General features: G+C 41.6%; 1 annotated feature.

Annotated features, from left to right (window-relative positions):
- Positions 14,834-14,913: an enhancer, noted in NCBI's record as "active region_2296". NCBI's record gives its function as "activates an Ori minimal core promoter by ATAC-STARR-seq in GM12878 lymphoblastoid cells {active_cell/tissue: GM12878}" and the evidence as "EXISTENCE:reporter gene assay evidence [ECO:0000049][PMID:35858748]".

Raw genomic sequence — 20,666 nt, 5'->3', positions numbered from 1 at the left:
CCAGGGTGGTGGCCCATGCCTGTAGTCCCAGCTATTCTGGAGACCAAAGTGGGAGGATAGCAGGAGCCCAGGAGTTCAAGGCTGCAATGAGCTACGATTGTGCCATTGCCCTCCAGCCTGGCGACAGAGTGAGACTGTCTCTAAAAAAAAAAAACACAAGAAACTCAACAAATGTTTTTTGAATATGACCATATTTTAGACACCGGAAACAAAATAGATTAAAATCTTCCTTCTTGGGGGTTTTACAATCTCATGAGGGAACACAAGAAACACAATAAGCAAATATGTAAGTGATATATTTATGTAAAAGTATATAATATAGTAGACATTAACATTCTTGGCTGTCAGAAGATGATAACTACCATCTAGGGAAAAAATATATTGGGATAAGAAGGATCAGGGTGTTCTTGGGTGGAAGTCTGGCTGGCAGTGTTTTTTTGTTTTTTGTTTTTTTTTTTAGATGGAGTCTCGCTCTGTTGCCCAGGCTGGAGTACAGTGGCACAATCTCGGCTCACTGCCACCTCTGCCTCCTGGGTTCAAGCAGTTCTCCTGCCTCAGCCTCCCAAGTAGCTGGGACTACAGGCATGTGCCACCATGCCCAGCTAATTTTTTGTATTTTTTTAGTAGAGATGGGGTTTCACCATGTTAGCCAGGATGGTCTCAATCTCCTGACTTCGTGATCTGCCTGCCTCGGCCTCCCAAAGTTGTGGGATTACAGGCGTGAGCCACCGCACCCGGCCTGGTTTGTAATTTTTAAAGACAGGGTAGGGCACTAAGTGGGAGACAGTTAGATACAAATTGGAAGTGGTGAGGGCATGTGCCATATGGATGTCTGGGGAAGAAGCTCTGCAGAGGCCCTGAGATGGGTGTGTGCCTGGTGAGTTCACAGACCAGCCAGGAAGTCAGTGTGGCTGGAGTGGAGTGAATGATGGGCAGAGTAATGGGTGTGAGGTCAAAGCAGTTGTGGGGAGGGGAATATCAGGTTCAGGGACCTTATAGGTCATGGGGCACTCTGAGTGAAGTGCAGAGAAGAGTTATGACCTGACTTCACATTTGTGGAGGCCCATTCTGACGCTATGCTAAGAATGCAGCTAAGGGGTCAGAGATTGAAGCAGAGTACCCTGTTAGGAGGTTATTGGAAGAATCCAGGTGAGAAAGGGCAGTGGTTTGGATCAGAGGGTTGGCCAGGGAGGCGTGAGAAAGGAAATGGTACCGTGGTACTGCAATTATTACCTAAAATCCTATTTCTTTTCAAAGTGGTGCTACTTGTTGATGGCATAGGGTGGCTCCGATGTTACTGAAAATCATACCCAAAGAAGATGATCCATTTCGCTAGTACTGATTGATCAATAAAGGATTCTTTATACCTTAGGGTTAAATTACTTGTTTGTTGAAACCTCTGCAGCTAAAGGCTCCCTCTTTGGAAAATGTTAGTTATTTGAGGGCCTGAAATTGCACAATCAGTTTTTGACTTGCCCTGTCCCTTCGAACGAGAGAGAAATACAAATGTAGTTACTTGTGTATGCAGTTGTGGTACCTGGTGTTGGAAGCTGTATGGGGGAGGCTGAGAATGTTGATCATAACTCACTGGCTTTGTAATTAAACTCTCTTTTTATTAAAGCTGAAATTCTTAAAGGCCCCTGCCTGTGTGGGACTGGAAATTATTTATCATAGAAATTGTCTGCTTTGCTATAAAAATGTTGATATATTATTCTGTTCATAAGATGTAGACACTGTTTTTTAAAAAATATCTCTAGCTGTAGATGTGCAGACATCATATGAACTTTCTTACTAATGTCACATTTATTGAGCTCTGTATGTGTGTGTGAGACTAATGTCTCAACCTTTCTTTTAAAATTTTTGCTTATTTGTTACAATGTTGGCTGTGGCCTTGTAAAAAAATAAATAAAATAAAATGTTTAAGTATCTGAAGCACCGAGTGGATGTTTCAAACTCACAAGAGCGGTTAGGGATCAAAAAGAAGTATACAATATAACATATCCCTTTGCCAAGTCCAGTCCATTTCATTCCGTGTCCCTAGCACTCCAGTGAAGGTAGCAGCCATCAGTTAAATAAACAAGCATTTCTACTGATGGCAGCAGCCTCAGTATGCTTACATCCACCATGTTACTCTCTACTGAGGGACTTTTGCTGATAGAGCCTTAGTTGAGATTATCTAGAGAGTTTTTTCTTCTATGTGGAGCCAATTACCATGTAACACATATGAAACTACAACAAACAGACATTGAAATATATTAAAAAAGATTTATTTTAAATAAAAGGATGTGAAATGGTGGACAATGTCCTTGTTACTGATGCATTTCTCACAATTTTTTTTTTACCACCACTTTAATTAGAGTGTTTAATATGTTTGGATGCAAGTCCATCACGTTTGTTTTGTGTTTGTTCCAACTTGTTTGTTTCTTTCTTCCTCCTTTCTTGCCTTCTTTTGGGTAAATCGAACATTTCTTAATATTCCATTTTATCTCTTCTATTGAGTTTTTAGCTATACACACTTACTGTGTGTGTGTGTGTGTTCAAGTGGTTGCTCTAGACATTACAACATGCATCTTTAACTTATTACAGACCACCTTCAAATAATAATATATTACTTCTTTACCATTACTGTAGATAGTTAATTTTACACATGATCACAAGGGAAAAAATCAATACTATACCTATTATATTTATGTGAAGATTAGCTGTATTCAGATTTGCATTTTATAATCAATGTGGGTGCAGAGCTCTCCTCTGCCTAATCACAGAATTGATTATGCAATTCACAGACATTTGTGTGGTTGTTGGTTGCCCGCTTACCTGAGTATTTCATTTCTTTGAGACAATTACTCTTTTGTTTTTCTCTTTTGAAATAACTAATGCAAATTAAGAAGAAGAAAATGAGAAATGTTAAGCAGAAATCTTTTTTTTAAAGGGAAGTTGAATCAGGGCCGGTGAAGTAGCAGCCACGGTTCAATGGCCCTTTTTACAATGAAGGCGATGACAGATTTTACCTCACAGTCACTGGTACCATTTTATTGAGGTTTGAGTTGACTTAACTCATAGTCTGAGAATGTGAACGGATTTGAGAGGCTCATCTTAGGGGTTGACTTCCCTTGGCATAGATCTATGTGTCTTTTGCAAATAAATCCCTTCTTGCCGTCCTACATGACACATGTGCCATGTCCTATTTAGCCCCTATGTGTCTATCACAGAAGTCAGTGTTATATGGATCAGGGGGCATAGGTGACTTCTGGCCCAGTGTCATGTAGCTAACTGGTTAGCACATATTAGTAATCAAAGGTGGATCTTAATGAATCCACTATTTTATTTGGATATATTGAATGCTCTCTTTGCAGACTGGTCCTCTATGGAAACCAGTTCTCTTGACTACCAAAGGAATAAATTAAAAAAAAAAAAATGGTACCTGTACAAATAGCATGGTGAAATGTTGCCCTTGCTCATAAAAGGCTTGGTTGGAATCTCGTGTTGAATCTTGTAAAATTCCATTTGTTATTATTTTACAATGCACAGGAGTTCATGTTACATATCACTGTGTGTGCATTTAATTTTCAAAGTTGCATTTTAGTGGCCTGTCATATCTTATGGTAGGTTAGACATGAGTAGTTACTTTGGCTGATTAGCAAAATTAAAGGTAGAAAAAGCTATACACAGTGAATGTGTATAGCTAAAAACTCAATAGAAGAGAAAAAATGGAATATTAAGAAATGTTCAGTTTACCCAAAAGAAGGCAAGAAAGGAGGAAGCTGTAATTGGGATGACTAAGAAAGGAAGGAAGGGTATGCCTTCTTATTCAGAATTGACTTTTAAAGCACTTTTGCCTGTTTAACACATGTACACAGTCAGGTTCCTAATGTCATCTGATTACTCTTTTGCTTTTAACTGGCTACCTGGTATAGTTGCTTTCCAGGTTCTTATCAGGAAATACAATCTCAAACTCACTGCCATTAATACCTTTCGAAAGCTCTGCAGAGGGAAACAATATTTATGGAGGATTGCCTGAAGTATTTGTTGTCCATCCATTTTTTAGATAAGTCATCATCAACCTGTTGTCTTACAGACCCCTGGGAGAATGCAGAGTTATTGCAAGGTTGTCTGCAAATCCTCTACTGAAGGTATTATTATTTCTGTCATAGTTATCTGTAAGGACACAACAGTGACATTGAATATTTTGTTTAAGGGAACAGAGTCTTTTCCAACACCTAGGTCTTTACTTAAAAGGAGAAAATCATGTGATAAATGCAATCAATAATGGGATCTGGAATGGGAGTTGCCAGGCTTTGAACTTAACTATTTGTGCTTTGAGCCTCACTTGAGCATCACAGGACCATGGAACATTGAGTGCTGGAAAGGACCCCATGGGGTCTGTTAGGCCACTGATGGCACATTTACATTGTGAGTGCGGGCAGTGTGGCATTGCCTACTGGCGGTGGTGCATTTTCTGGGATGCTCAAAACTGTTATTTGTAGTTGACAACAATAGTGATGGCAAAAACATTTGCTTTAAGCATCAATTTTTACAATGTCAGTAAGGAAAGTAATTTTATTATTTTATTTTATTCTGTTTTTTGAGATGGGTCTCACTCTGTTGCCCGTGCTGGGTCTCACTTTCTCCTATTCAGTGCCGTTCACATCGGCTCCTGGTGATTATCATTGCCACCAGCTAATCTAGATCTCAGAATTCAAGATTCTTGGATTATTGTTCTGTCTTCCAGCTATTCATCCTGCCTCCAGATTCTTTCCTCATTAGTCCACTCTACACCCAGCTTCCAGAATAATCTCTCTCTCTCTTTTTTTTTTTCTTTTTTGAGATGGAGTTTCGCTCTTGTTGTCCAGGCTGGAGTGCAATGGTGCGATCTCGGCTCACCGCAACCTCCGCCTCCTGGGTTCAAGCAATTCCCCTGCCTCAGCCTCCTGTGTAGCTGGGATTACAGGCATAGGCTACCATGCTCAGCTAAGAATAACCTTCTCAAACACATCTTTGTATGAGTTCTTTCCCATCTTGCCAGCCCCCATATACGATAAATTCAATACCAAGAAACCTGCTTTTTACCGTTTTCAAAATTGCACACTGACCTTTCCACTTTATCCTTAGCTGTGTGCATTCCAACTCATTCCCCTATTCTGAAGAACTGACCTTTTAGCTATGGGTTGTTGAATATGCCAACTGCATTTCAGCTGCTTAGGCTTTGCAACCACCATTGCCCTGTTGTAAATTTTTTATTCCACGTGACCACTTACTTGCAACCTGTTCTTTCTGTATGAATCATGTCAAATTCTAAATACTCCAAAAACCATTGTTGAAATGAAGATTTCTCCTCTGAACACTTGTACCATTTTTTAGGCATATATGGTCTTATAGTCTTATATATTTCCACACTCACATCTAGGTCAATATGTGCTATGGTGCCCTAATGAAAGCCTTAACTTCTTGGGGCCAGAGATGGTAGATATTTGGCAAATATTTCTTGCCGATGGCCAGAGCTTGAGGTACTTTAGAGCGGGGTACTCCCTGATGGAGTTGTGTTATTTGACCAATTAGTTTCAATACATTTTTTTTTCCCTTACTGTTTATTTCTTCATCCTTAGCTTCTCTTTGTAATGGATGGAAATATGAGGCTTCTTTGTACATTGCCCTTTGTATCAGTCTACTTGGTCTGCCCTGACAAGGTACCATGGACTGGGTGGCTTAAACAATAGACATTTATTTTCTCACAGCTCCAGAGGCTGGAAGTCCAAGGTCAGGGTGTTGACGGGGTTGGTATCTGGTGAGGGCTCTCTTCCTGGCTTGCAGACAGTCGCCTTCTCACTCTGTCCTCACATGGCCTTTCTTCTGTGTTTGTGAAGAGAGAGAGTTCCCTGGTGTCTCTCCCTCTTTTTTTTTGTTCATTTCTTTTCCCATTTTTTTTCTCTCTCTCAGCAGAAATAACTACTTCTTCTTATAAGGATACCCCTCCTATCAACTTAGGCCCACTCTTTTGACCTCATTTAAACCTAATTACCTCCTTAAAGTCCCTATCTCTAAATACAGTCACACTGGAGGCTAGGGCTTCAACATGTGAATTTTAGGGGGTATAATTTAGTCCATAACACCTTTCAAATTGAGTTCGTATTTTTCAAAATAGCGTTTTATTTCCCTTTGATTATAAAATAATACTGTATCTTCCTCTCCTCCACCCCCGAAACAAAAGCCAAACAACTGAGTGAATTTATTATTAAAATCAAGAACAGAAAGGCCCTGGTTGTGGGGGCAGCTGCCGTGCACCAGTAGCAGCAAGGAGGCAGTCACATGGTGGTTTGGAGCTCAGGCTTCCCAGCCGCACTGCTGTGGTTTCAACCTGACTCTGCCATTTGGCAGCTGTGTGACCTGGAACATGTTACTTAACCTCTCTTTGTTTCTGTTTCCTTATGTCCAAAATGGGAATGATAACAATGGTTCTACCACATAGGAAAGTGTTGAGTGTTGTAGGGGAGACTAAATGAGTTAATATGTGTAAATCCCCTGCAACATTAGCTATTGTTATATTTACCTTAGATCTCTCCTCATTTTAAATGCCCGTAGAAGTATGTGTGTGTCTCTATAGCACCCCCGTCAGGCAAGCAATAGTAGGGGAACATCATTGAATGCTTCTGTTGATTCAAGGGTACCATATTGCTTTCAAAAAAGTGCCAGTCTAAATCTGTAGAAGCCCTGATGCGGAGGATTCTGGCCAAGGTCACACATGCCTCACCTACCACGTGTGCCCAATTCCCCAGAGTTCAACAAGTGTTTATTTGTAACTAACATGAAAGATTATGGCCAGTGCACAAAAAAAGGTGTGTACAGTCACTACTGTGAGCACAAAAGAGGGGCTCTTGGGCTTAGGTTGAAGGTGCTGGTGGCATCTGGAAGGACTTTCTGGAAGTGGTGGTGTCTGAACTGAAGTTTGAAGCATGAGTAGAAATTGGGATTAAAGTATCCATTACCAATAATATGCTGAATTGATATTGTTTTCAGAAAAAATTCAACGGTAAAAAATTCAATAGTATTTCTTTGCAGTGAAAATTATCTTATATTAGAATTAGCAGCTGTTTAGAAGTAGACAGCAGAAGAATCCAGCAAAAATAGCAGACACCATGACTTGTAAAATATTCCTAATTTTGGCCAGGTGCAGTGGCTCACACCTGTAATCCCAGCACTTTGGGAGGCTGAGGCGGGCGGATCATGAGGTCAGGGGTTCGAGACCAGCCTGGCCAATATGGTGAAACCCTGTCTCTAATAAAAATACAAAAATTAGCCGGGCGTGGTGGCGGGCACCTGTAATTCCCACTACTCAGGAGGCTGAGGCAGAAGAATTGCTTGAACTTGGGAGGTGGAGGTTGCAGTGAGCCGAGATTGTGCCACTGAACTCCAGCCTGGGCAACAGAGCAAGACTCTATCTCAAAAAAAAAAAAAAAAAAAAAAAGAAAGAAAGAAAATCCTAATTTTAAAATTGATTTGTTAAAAATGAGTCAAAATCTTATTTTTATAGGACAAACAGGAGAAAGCAATCCCTTATTTAGTTGGTAATTTTAGATATCATCCAACTATGAATTTCATGTATTCATTCCATGGATATTTTTGGCTACCTACTGTGTACCAGGGGACTGAGGATAGAGTGGGGACTGCATCAGACTTGTGGTCTTTGCCTTCATGAGTGTATGGGAACTAGAGGAAGACAGATTAAAAAAAAAAAAGTATGATGACTATTAAGCCAGGAGAAGCAGAGGACATAGTAGGAGAAGGTCCTGGAAGCCTTCAAAACATAATAAAAATTACTCATAATTCTGTTGTTCTAACCACACTTAATTTCTTCTCTATCTCTTCTTTTTTGCATTTTTTTCCTCTTTGCATGCTCACTGTTTACACTCTTCCAGTCATGGTGTAAGGCTTCCTCGGCATTCATTACTGTGGCTTCATTACCATGGCTAAATAAATCCCAGCTGTTATTCACCCTGGAGCATGTTACAGAGTTGCCAAAGCGAGAAGCATCTCCCGTGTACATCAATTTTCAGTGGTGGCTCTTATTTGTGACTTTGAATTTGGGGCTTACATTTGATACCATTGTTTGTTGCCTCTGTTCACAGTGACTTCATAATTGCTGCATGTCTCTCCAAGCTGGCAGTGACCCTGGCATCTCATTTTGCCTCAGATTCAATTGCTTTGGAGCATGACCATCTGTGATCATTTAAATTATTGTTCAGCAAATAATCCCTCCTCTCCCCTCCCACCACAGGCAGAGTATACTTCTCTGTCTTGTTGACTTTGGACTTGGCCATGTGACTTGCCTCGGCCAAAAGACTAATAGCAGAGGTACCATGAGCTGAGGCCCTAAATGTGCTTGCACATTGCTCTTGGATCTTGTGCTCTGGGGATCCAACCTGGGGAGTGATTGTCCCAGGTAGCCATTGGTCTGGGGAGGATGAGAGACATGTGGAACAGGTCTATACTCAACCCATACGCAAGTTCAGCTGATCTTACCTAGAGTGGAGTCACTTAGGGGAGCTCAAACTCAGTCAGTGTTTTGCTGTAGAGCACTGAGTTTGGACAGTTTGTTCTGCAGCACTGTGGTGGCAAGAGCTGACTAAATTCAGTATCTCTTTGATGCCCCTCTCCAGGGCACCTCTAAGTGAATTTTGTATATGCCATAGGGGCTGCATATTAACACTACTTTAAATGAGTCTAACCATTTTTACATTATGTAGTACTATGAATTTATTCAACAATCATCATATTAAACCTTTACTAGAGACAGGCAACATGGGAACAAGAGAGATGAAGAGTACAGCCCCCGATCTCTTGGACTTTAAAGTCCAGTAAGGAAGATGGGCTTAAGTGACCACATACATAAATGCATAATTACAATGTGAGATCAACCCCCGAACACAATTCTGTAAGTGCATTAACAAGGAAACCTGACCTAGACTAGGGAGTCTGAAGGTTTGCTATGGAAATCTATGGGACTAAGTTCCATATTTATCCATATGGATGAGGAATAATACTAATATTAGCAAAATATTTAATTTAAAAAATACCTTACTTTGGGAGGCTGAGGCGGGCAGATCACGAGGTCAGGAGATCGAGACCATCCTGGCTAACACGGTGAAACCCCGTCTCTACTAAAAATACAAAAAAATTAGCCGGGCATGGTGTCAGGTGCCTGTAGTCCCAGCTACTCAGGAGGCTGAGGCAGGAGAATGGCGTGAACTCAGGAGGCGGAGCTTGCAGTGAGCCGGGATCGCACCACTGGACTTCAGCCTGTGCCACAGAGCAAGACTCCATCTAAAAACAAAAACAAACAAACAAAAAAAAAACCTTACTTGTTGCTAGATGTTGCTTTAAGGGCTTTAAAAATATTGACTTGCTTAGTCCTCAGAACTCCTTTGTCACTGGCAATTAGTCCAGCAGAGAGCAAGGGTGGTTTCCGAGGCTACATCCTGGGCTGAAGGAACCACGAAAGGAAAGGCCTTGGAATATGTGAGAACTCTGCACATTTGGGGCACTGAAAGATACTCATTGTTGCTGAGGGCAGAGAGCCTGACGGAGAGGATGAAATGGTGAGGATGGCAGGGTTAGCCTTGGAGGGCCTTTGTTTGCATTAGCAAGGATTTTGATCTTCCTGAGAACAACGAGAAACCACTGAAGGGTTTTAAGTAGGACTCGGAATAAGTGGTGTGATAAGATTAACATTTAGTACAGATAGTTTAAGATGCTCATTGGAGAATGAATCAGAGAAACTCAAGAAGGGATGAAGGGAGATCAGTAAAGGGGATCTTGCAATAAACCAGGTGTGAAATAATGATACTTACATTAGGGTGATAGACATGGAAATGAAGATAAGACATATTTGAGTGGTATTAGGAGATGACATTTGCAAATTTAATTATCGTCGTCATCATCATCATCATCATCATCATCATCATTCTCACTCTGTTGCCCAGGCTGGAGTGCAGTGATGTGATCATAGCTCACTGTAGTCTCAAACTCCTGAGTTCAAGTGATCCTTCCACCTCCTGAGTAGTTCAGACTACAAGTGCATGCCACCATACCCAGCTAATTTTTAATTTATTCTATTTATTTATTTTTTGTAGAGACAGGGTCTTACTTTGTTGCCCAGGCTGGTCTCGAACTCCTGGCTTCAAGTGATCCTACTACCTTGGCCTCGCAATGTACTGGGATTACAAGTGTGAACCATCGTGCCCAGCCAGAGTTTAATTATTTAGTAGAAACTCTCAGTATTATTTGTTAGATTCACTGTTGAATGTCAACATTTTACACATATCTGTGTAATCTCCATGTTAGGCTTCCCACGGGAGGCACAGAGCTTGGAGAAAGAAGTGGTTTTCTGGTTCCTCTTCAGAGGATGGAGAGGAGACCTTCTGCCTGCAGTGAAGGTGGGTGCTGGTGGCATTGAAGGTAGTGAATGAATCTCTGACTGGAGAGAACATGTTCTGTGTTTGCCCCTAGTGGTCACCACTTGGAAATGATATAAATCTGACATATAGAAGTCCATAACATTTCCACAATTCAGTATTGAAAGCCCCATCTGGTTTTTTTGAGATAGAGTCTCACTCTATCGCCCAGGCTGGAGTGCGATGGCTCAATCTCGGTTCACTGCAAGCTCCGCCTACTGGGTTCACACGATTCTCCTGCTTCAGCCTCCCAAGTGGCTGAGATTACAGACACCCACCACCACGCTCAGCTAATTTTTGTATTTTTAGTAGAGACAGGGGTTTCACCATGTTGCCCAGGCTGGTCTCGAACTCCTGACCTCGAGTGATCCACCTGCCTCGGCCTCCCAAAGTGCTGGGATTACAGGTGTGAGCCACCGTACCTGGCCTGTTCTTGAAATATTATCATTTTAGATTTTTGTGAAGGAATCAAAGGCTTACGTTGAGAACACTGAATAATCTTGAAGGATGTTTTCAGTGCTGAGGCTTCCCACAGTGATTTAGGATGGATTTCATGTTGCTTTTCCTAGGTTTGGGAGGGTATTCAGCTTTTCTCTGGGAGCTAAGTGTTTGTCCACTTAATGTTCCTTAGTCTTAAAAGTGTTCTTACCTGAGTGTAAGCGCCAAACCTAAAATAAATGCAAATTTAAGTGAATTTAACTCCATTCTGTTTGCCTTCTCCATCTAAAAGGAAATCTGATTTTAGATTGAAAGGCATTTTGGAATATATTATAATATTTTAGGTGATAAATAGGTTATGAATAGTTTGCTTCTGGTAGGTTTTTCCTGAGCATTTAAAAATTGAATTTCCAAGTAGAGTTATTTGATTATAATTCCGAGATACCAATACCATTTCATATAACACCTTTAATACAAAGCTTTCTAAGAAAAAAAAGGGAATGTACCTAATATACAAGGCATTTTGTATCAAAAACAGTTTTAATATTGAAATAATGATATTTGTTATATGAATATATGTACATCATGTATGTATTAGTTTCCTGTTTCTATGACAACACATTCCTGCACATTTGGTGGCTTAAAACTTATATACATTTATTCTTTTACAGTTCTGGGGGTCGTAAGTCTGAAGTCAGTTTCCCTGGGCCAAGATCAAGGTGTCGGCAGGGCTGCACTGGCTCCGGAGGCTCAGGGGAAGCATCCGTTTTTTGGCTTTTCCGGCTTCTGGACCCACATTCCTTGCATTCCCTGGCGCTGTCCCCGTTCTCCATCTTCAAAGCCAGCAGCGTGGCACCCACTCTCTCTGACTCCGCTTCCACCGGCTGGCATCTCACAGCTTTCTTCTCTTCTGTGTCAAATCTCCTGCCACCTCTCTCTTATAAGGACACTTGGATTGCATTAAGGTCCCAGCTAGATTATCCTGGATTATCTTCCCACTTCAAGATCCCTAATCACATCTGCTAACTCTATTCCGCGATGAATGGTAACATTCACAGGTTCCAGGGACTGGGACGGGATGCTTTTGCAGGCCATTACTCAGCCTGCCGCAAGGTCTGAAGGCAGTGCTGTCCGATTCCATTGGCTAGTTATGACTGTGCGCCGAGGCAGACTCGACAACTAGATACCTTTTTATAAAAATGTGGTAACATGCATATAAGATTTCCTATTTTTACTGTTTCCAGGTGTAAATTCAGTGGCATTAAGTGCTTTCACACTGTTGTGTAACCATCACCACCATCCACCTCCAGAACTTTCTCGTCTTCTCAGACTGACACTCTGTACCCATTAAACAGCCATTCTCCATTCTCCCCTCCCCCAGCCACTGGCAACCACCATTCTGCTTTCTGTTTCCATGAATTTGCCTATTCTAGGTACCACATATAAGAGGAATCATACAGTATTTAGCCTCTTGTAGACACATTTTTAAAAGATTTTTTTGAACTTGTTCCCTTAATGTTCCTTAGCCTTAGAATTGTTCTTACCTAAGTGTAAGTGTTAAACCTAACATCTATATGTAGATCTATACAACAAATATTCTCAAATCATTTAATTTGTGACATGCCTGCGGGTCAGGGCAACATCTAATGTAAAAGTTAGATGCACCTGAAAAGAGTCACCAATATTCCTGCCTATTAGAATTTCCAAGGATAGGCAGGGCGTGGTGGCTCCTGTCTGTAATCCCAGCACTTAGGGAGGCAGAGGCAGGCAGATTACCTGAAGTCAGGGTTCGAGACCAGCCTGGCCAACATGGTGAAACCCCATCTCTAATAAAAATACAAAAATTAGCCGGGCATGGTGGCACGTGTCTGTAGTCCCAGCTACATGGGAAGCTGAGGCAGAAAAATCGCTTGAATCCAGGAGGTGGAGGGTGCAGCGAGCAGAGATTGTGCCACTGTATTCCAGCCTGGGTGACAGAGTGAGACTCCGTCTCAAAAAAAAAAAAAAAAAAAGAATTTCCAAGGATAATTTCTAGAATCCGCAGGATGCCCTGACTTTTATTATCCCAATAAAGAGAAGGAATGTCAAAATTTCCTTTTATTTTATTTTATTTTATTTTTTGAGAGTCTTGCTCTGTCACCCAGGCTGGAGTGCAGTGGCGCGATCTCGGCTCACTGCTACCTCCACCTCCTGGGTTCAAGTGATGCTCCTGCCTCAGCCCCCCAGTAGCTGGGATTACAGGCACTCACAACCATGCCTAGCTAATTTTCCTATTTTTAGTTAGGGATAGGGTTTCACTATGTTTGCCAGGCTGGTTTCGAACTCCTGACCTCAAATGATCTGCCCACCTTGGCCTCCCAAAGTGTTGGGATTACAGGCGTGAGCCAACATGCCAGGCCCAAATTTCCTTTTAAAGGCAGGATTGATGACAATGGCAAATATTATTTGTGGAAACATTCCCAGGTTTCCCATAATCTACTTTTGCTTTCTCTGTTAGAAGAATTGGATGAGGATGGGATTGGCTTACAGCACAGGTGCAAAACAAGTAGCTCCAAAATAAACACAAACTATCCCAATATTCCTCTCACTCAGCAGAAGTGTGGAATAATGATGTAAGCATAAGTGGTCATGAAAACTCCTGACAACTGTTTATCTGGTAAAAGGAGAGATAGGCAAAATTTCCTCACCTTTTGACTATGCAATTTACACAAGTAGACAGAACACGTTCCATCTACCCCCACCAATAAAGTTATTAGTGGTGAATTTGTTGAGCTAGAATGTCACATTGTAGGTTATTTAAAAAGTGGGTATCAATAGATTGATTGGCTGCTCATCCATTCATTGATTCTTTTATCACATATGTATTGAGAGTCCACTCTGCCAGGCTTTCTGTTCTAGCTCTGAGGATTCAGCAGTAGGGAGACAAGGTTATGGCTCTCATGGAGCTTACATCCTTTTAAGGTAGAGAAAGATAGATACATAAGTAGGCAATAATTGAACATATTATGCCGGACTGAGATAAGAGCGGTGAAGGAGATAGGGTAGTATACTAGGAACCGTGTGGGTTGAGAGACGAGGGGTTCTGTTATAAAAAAAACAGTCCCGGCTGGGCACCATAGCTCATGCCTGTAATCCCAGCACTTTGGGAGGCCGAGGCGGGCAGATCACGAGGTCAGGAGATTGAGACCATCCTGGCTAACGTGGTGAAACCCCCATCTCTACTAAAAATACAAAAAGTTAGCCGGGTGTGGTGGTGGGCGCCTGTGGTCCCAGCTACTCCGGAGGCTGAGGCAGGAGAATGGTGTGAACCCGGGTGGCGGAGCTTGCAGTGAGCTGCGATTGCACCACTGCACTCCAGCCTGGGAGACAGCCAGACTCCGTCTCAAAAAAAAAAAAGCTGTCCCACATCATCCAAAGGAACCAGCCAAGCATGAGGAGAAACAACAACCACAATGGCCATGAAATGGGAGGAGCTTGGTGTGTTTGAAGAACAAGGCCAGTGTGTGAGGAAAGAGTTGACTAAGACAAGTTGGAGAGGTTGGCTGCAGTCAGATCCATCTATTCATCCGTCCATCTGCCTATATTTAACCACTCGTCCATTTATTTATCTACTCCCCCCATCAAAAATCATTTGGGACAACTTATAAAAATATACAAGATAAAACAGACAAATGAGAGAAGGGGAGGCCAACTGGAAAAATAAAGTTGGGAGAATATTAATATGTAAACAAACACATGTCATGACACCTGTAGTTACGAAAAGTAGTCTGAAAATTCAGTTCTGAGTTTCCCAGCGGTCAAAACAAAAGAAAAATACCACCAGATATGTGATTCATAGTGTTCATGACATAAAAATAAACTATTTTCTTAGAAGAAACATTTCACCCCATCCTGAGAGTTGAGAGCAACTTCTTTATGGCATCCGTGGTGGTTTTGTATTGTGTCAACTTGGCTAAGTGGAACCACAGTTCCCAGGACCCCCTTCCCTCTGTGGCTCTGGGCAGAATTGGCTGAAAGAGAAAATGGTGGAAGACTGAGAAAGCAGAAATGAATCAACAGCTATTTGCTGTAGGTTAGCAGAGATAGATGTAGTTGAGGAAGAGACACAGAGATGCCAGTAGGTTCCAACTTATTTTTGCTCTCCTCTCTCTCTGCATCTAGCTCTTTCTGCCTGAAGACAAGAGCAACTCCACTTTACCACCAGGTGCAGCAGCAACAGCCTTCTATAGTGTCTCCATGCCAGCCTCTAGCATCTAGATGTTCCCAGCTTTCTACAGTGCCCTGTAAGCTCGCACTCTCTCCCTCTGCCAGTGTCACAGGAGGGTCGGTTAGTGACACATCCCTGATCTTTCAACCTCCTGCCTCCCTCAACCGTGTAATGTCCAAGTCCTATAATAGATCTTTCAATCTATGATGCTTATCGTGGTTCTGCTTCCCAATTCAAACCCTGGCTGAGATGTGGTCTTATGAGGGGACATTCCATGGTGTGCTGAAAGTCACCCCACAGTATCCCCATGATAAACATACAGAATAGCTGTGAATTTCTCTTAGAGAGCCCAGGACATGATCAAAACTGGATTGTCTGCCAGGCTGAAGAGACCCCAGGGTGAACAGAAAACGATGGAAGCTGCTCTCTGGCCTGCCAGCCAATCACATATTCCTTTAAGACTACCTACCATGCCAGTTCCGAACTCAGCTGCAGGCAGCCATCAGGTACTTATAAAGTAGCTGTCATGACTGGGGAACTGAATTTTAAATTTTAATTAAGTTTAAATGTAAAAACTGATAACTTGAGTCTGTTATTGAAAAACCTTTAGGTATGGCTCAGAACAACTTGGGTATATTTTCAATTTGAAATTTTATGAAACCTAAATCGGCCGGGCATGGTGGCTCACGCCTGTAATCCCAGCACTCTGGGAGGCTGAGGCAGGCAGATCACTTGAGGTTGGGAGTTCGAGACCAGCCTGGGCAATATGGTGAAACCCCATCTCCACCAAAAAATAAAAAAATTAGCTGGGCATGGTGGTGCATGCCTGTAATCTCAGCTACTCAGGAGGCTGAGGCAGGAGAATTGCTTGAACCTGGGAGGCAGAGGTTGCAGTGAGCCGAGATCACGCCATTGCACTCCAGCCTAGGTGACAGAGGGAGACTCCGTCTCAAAAAAAAAAAAAAAAAGAAAAGAAATCTAAATCCATATCAATTATTTCTGTTGAAACAGTTGAGATGGCCTGTGAGTGTAAAATAAATTCTGTATTTTGAAGACTTTGTATGAAAAAATATCATAAAATACCTAATTCATAATTTTGTATATAAATATTTTAATTAAATAAAATATATTGGTAAAAATTCAACAGTTTCTTTTTACCTTTTTACAAGAAAACTTACATTACGTATGTGGCTGGCATTGTATTTCTACCAGACAGCTACTCTGGAACTCAAGGCACCCTGGGTGGGATGACTTGTTATTTGTACGTCTTTCCGTCATCCACAGGGACTGACTCGCCTCCTGGAAATATGGCTGGAATTAGTCTGACACTGTAAAGAGGCACTGTAACTATGGGCTATCCAGTTTGGGTCAGACCTTATCTACATGCCATGGGTAATATTTTCGCTGAACCTAAGACATGAGTGAGAGACAAAAATACAAGCTAAGAGACACATTCACAATGGAGGCAAAGAAGAAAAAAAGATATCTATCTCACTTTTTTTTTTCCTAGGAAAATTTTTGTTGGGGAATTTAAATCTCCATATTCATTGCTGCTTGAGAGTGATCAAGCCTCTACGGGGACATCTCAAAATTCTGGTATAAAAAGCCCTTCTTTGTTGAAAAGAAAAGGAGACAGAGGACATTTTTATAAATGCAGACGTTAAGTAAGCACAAATTATATGCAAATAGAATTCCTTCGGGTATGTAATATTGAGTCTAGAGTAGAAATAGCTTTGGTAATGTGGCTACATTAATTGGTGCTTGTGAGGGGCAAACTGAGGCACTTTTGGATAAGAACACAGCTGATGTGACTTCTAAAACTTTCTTCATTCATCAACAGACTTTTTTGGTCCATTAGGCCCAGGGCCAGGCAGGGTGGTTGGAAGAGGGGCTTAGGGGAACCACCCTGATCATTGATTGCTCTGATTTTTTACCATACTTACCTGTGAACTCTTCTTTCTTTTTTTGAGTTAGAGTCTTGCTCTGTGGCCCCGGGTGGAGTGCAGTGGCTTGATCTCGGCTCTCTGCAATCTCCACCTCCTGAATTTATGCAATTCTCCTGCCTCAGCCTCCCAAGTAGCTGGGATTACAGGTGCCCACCACCACGCCTGGCTAATTTTTATATTTTATATTTTTAGTAGAGATGGGGTTTCACCATTTTGGCTAGGCTGGTCTCGAACGCACGACCTCATGATTTGCCCGCCTCGGTCTCCCAAAGTGCTGGGATTACAGGCGTGAGCCACTGCACTAGACTTCTCGTCTTTCTTCCCAATTATGTGTGCGAGTCTATTTATAAAGGCATTGCGCGTCCCTAAGGAGTTAGGGGGCTGGCAGGCTGGCTTGGGTAGTGGCTCCTAACTGTAGATAATTTGCACTTTTGTGTTCTCTGTAAGAGGAGGGAGGGGTACTATGAAGTCTGTATCTGACCCAAACTGGATGGCCCATAGTTACAGGATAGGAATGAGTGAGGAGGGGTGGGTGGTGGTGGGGTCTACTCCGCTTGGGTTTCTAGCATTGTCACTGGGTGAGCAATCAATGATCAGAAAAGCACCACCCTTGTCTTCTAAGTGAGGAAAAATAAATATAAGCCAAAGGAAAAATTTAGAGAAAAGGAAATTATAACACTTAGGAGTAGTCTAGGTGTTCCCTGACATCATTAATCATTCATTTGGCTTCCTTATGGTTCTTCTCATTTAAAAAAAAACAAGTGTGTAAGAGGGAACAAGGAATTGGCCATCGGGGTTGAAGGAAGAGCCACTTATGATGAATGGTGGCTCCTTGTGGAAAGTGCTTTGTGTTACAATTTTAAACTTATTTCACTGAGGATTTCAAGCAAAAAATATACCCTTTATCGATGTGCTTCAGCCTCTTTTGCTTCTTTATTCACCTGGCTCCTTGGGGATAACAGAGGTCACTCTGGGAAATAGATTATTGACTCGTACTAAAATGTTACTACCAGAAATGGTAAGGCTGGGTCAATTCTAGTGAATGCTGGTCACTTGGAAGAGTTTTAACAAACACGAAATTTAAACTGTGAGTGTAGTCCCCTAGGTGATTAATCAACAATCAGTTTGGCAAAGGAATTGTTTTCTTCAATTCATCGTACTTACCTGCGAGTCGTGACGTCCTTTCCTCTTTCTTCCCAATTATGGGTGTGAGCCTATCTATAAAGGCATGGCGCACCCCTAAGGAGTTAGGGGGCTGGCAGGGCTGGCTTGGGCATTGGCTCTTAACTGTAGACAATTTGCAGTTTTGTGTTTTCTGTGAGAGAAGGAAGGGGAACTATGAAGTCTGGCTCTGTGGCACTGCCCCCTGAATATTAGCTCATTCTGCTCGGGGAGGATTTAAACTGTGCTTACACCTCTTGTAGCCTTGCTTAGGAACTAGCATGGAGTGGTTTCCGAAATACAGTGTGTGCGCTGTGGGCATACAAAAGGAAAATGTTAGAATTTCCTTTTCTATTTTTATCTCATTCCCCTTTATCTATTTTTTTAAGCAAATGTTTTATGCTGTACCTAATCTAGTAGAGTACATGTTCACAATCCCTTATCCACGATCCTGATGTTTAAAAAGCTCTGAAAATCTGAAGTTATTTTGTAATTCATTTGGCCATTCAGCCTGAACTGACCTGAACTGGTGTGGCAATAGTCTTTATTTAATGCAATTGGTAGGAATAATTAGAATAGTCATGCATTTCTTTGTAGAACTCTTAATGTGTTTTCATTATGTGACGCTGCCCTGGATCCCCACTGGGGTGTTACATAATGTATGTTATTTGCACCCTATTATCTTGCTAAAATTGGAAAAATCTGAAGCATATTTCGTTCTAAGCATTTTGGGTAATTATTGTGGACATGTAGTTGAATATAACTTATAGATGAAAAAATAGGCATATGTTGTGGGTGCAAGCTCAAGGGTTTTTTGTTTGTTTTGTTTTGTTTTTTTTTTTTTTTTTACTAACACGGCGTGTGAATCTTGGAGCCCACTGCACCAGACCATGGTGACTCTGACGTTAACCTCATCAGGACCCAGGCCTCCTAACTCATCCAGCAGGCCAGGCCAGGCAGTGACTCTTACTGAGCGCCCTTTGCTTACCCACCTTGCTTAAAGACAGGTGGGAGAAGGACAGATGCGCTGTGCAAACCAAAGACAAAAAGAATAAAAGGTTCTATATATCTTCGTTGGAAGAGTCTCATAGCCTAGAGCCTGACAAGACATTTCTTAGGATGGAGAACTCATGGCTGAATTCTAGAAATTAAGGTCTATTTTCTACCCATGCAAAATATTGTGATATTTTTGGACAATTAATGGAAGCAATTGTTTATATTTTGAATGAGAGACAGAAAGAGACAGAGAGAGAGAGAGAACAAGAATATAGGTTTGTAAATTATGAATTAAGTAGAAATTTCCAGTTTCTTAACTCTCATGATGTAATGATGAAATCATAGTAACAAGAGGAATTGAATGATTTAAAGGAATGTGAACAATTGGTACAGTATCTCGAAAATTTTTTTTTTTTTTTTTTTTTTTGAGATGGAGTCTTGCTCTGTTGCCCAGGCTGGAGTGCAGTGGTGCAATCTCGGCTCAGGGTTCACAACATTCTCCTGCCTCAGCCTCCTGAGTAGCCAGGACTACAAGCGCCCGCCACCACGCCCAGCTAATTTTTTTGTATTTTTTTTTTAGTAGAGACAGGGTTTCACTGTGTTAGCCAGGATGGTCTTTATCTCCTGACCTTGTGATCCACTTTCCTTGGCCTCCCAAAGTGCTGGAATTACAGGCATGAGCCACAGCGCCTGGTCTCAAAAGTGTTTTTAAGGAGACTTCCTCAGCTTTTTCATAAGTCATCACAATGTTTATTTTATATTCAGTGCCTAACAAAAGAAACTTTGTGCAATTCTGAAGGATTTTGCCTACAAACTTTTGCATTTGCCTTTGTGGCCAGGATGCAAAATCCTTTCTGCTAAGGGGCTTGGACATTTGTGATGGTATTTATTCCATAGTAGCAGAATGCCTGGTGTAGTATTTGCTCCTGGAGTTTTTTGGTTGACTCTGGGGGCACCGAGTGTCACTCTGACTCCAGTAAGTAATGCCAATGGCACAGGTAGATGGATCTGACAGGTCTGAGGACTAACAGCATCTCAGTCGCCTTTCTCCAATGAAGGCTATACATCAGCACTTGGAATCTGCTGGAGCCGAAGAGGGTGACAAGGGAATAACATCCCTTTCTCTTCCATCGACAGGGGTAATAACTCCTCACTCCCTAGGGACAGATTGTAAAAGCCAATAGCCAGGAGCTGTGAAGCAGGGAGGGTAGAAGAATTGAAAATTAAAGAGGGAGTGGAAATTTTGCGTAAGGCTTTAGTGAGATAGAATAAACCATCAAACGTCAATCTTTTAATTGCCTTGTTGTTGACACGGGTTTGCAAATGTTCGTTTTGATTGCTTATTTTAAGTCGATTGTTAAAAGTCATGTATATTACATAAATGTGGGTTTATGCTTTATTGTGTAGGTTTTACTAGTGAATGTTATAATAGCCTGATATTTAATATCTAAATTTCTTCAAGTCATTGTT

This window comes from Homo sapiens, chromosome 1, assembly GCF_000001405.40.
Source record: "Homo sapiens chromosome 1, GRCh38.p14 Primary Assembly".
Classification (NCBI taxonomy): domain Eukaryota; kingdom Metazoa; phylum Chordata; class Mammalia; order Primates; family Hominidae; genus Homo; species Homo sapiens.
This window is presented reverse-complemented; position numbering and strand designations above follow the sequence as displayed.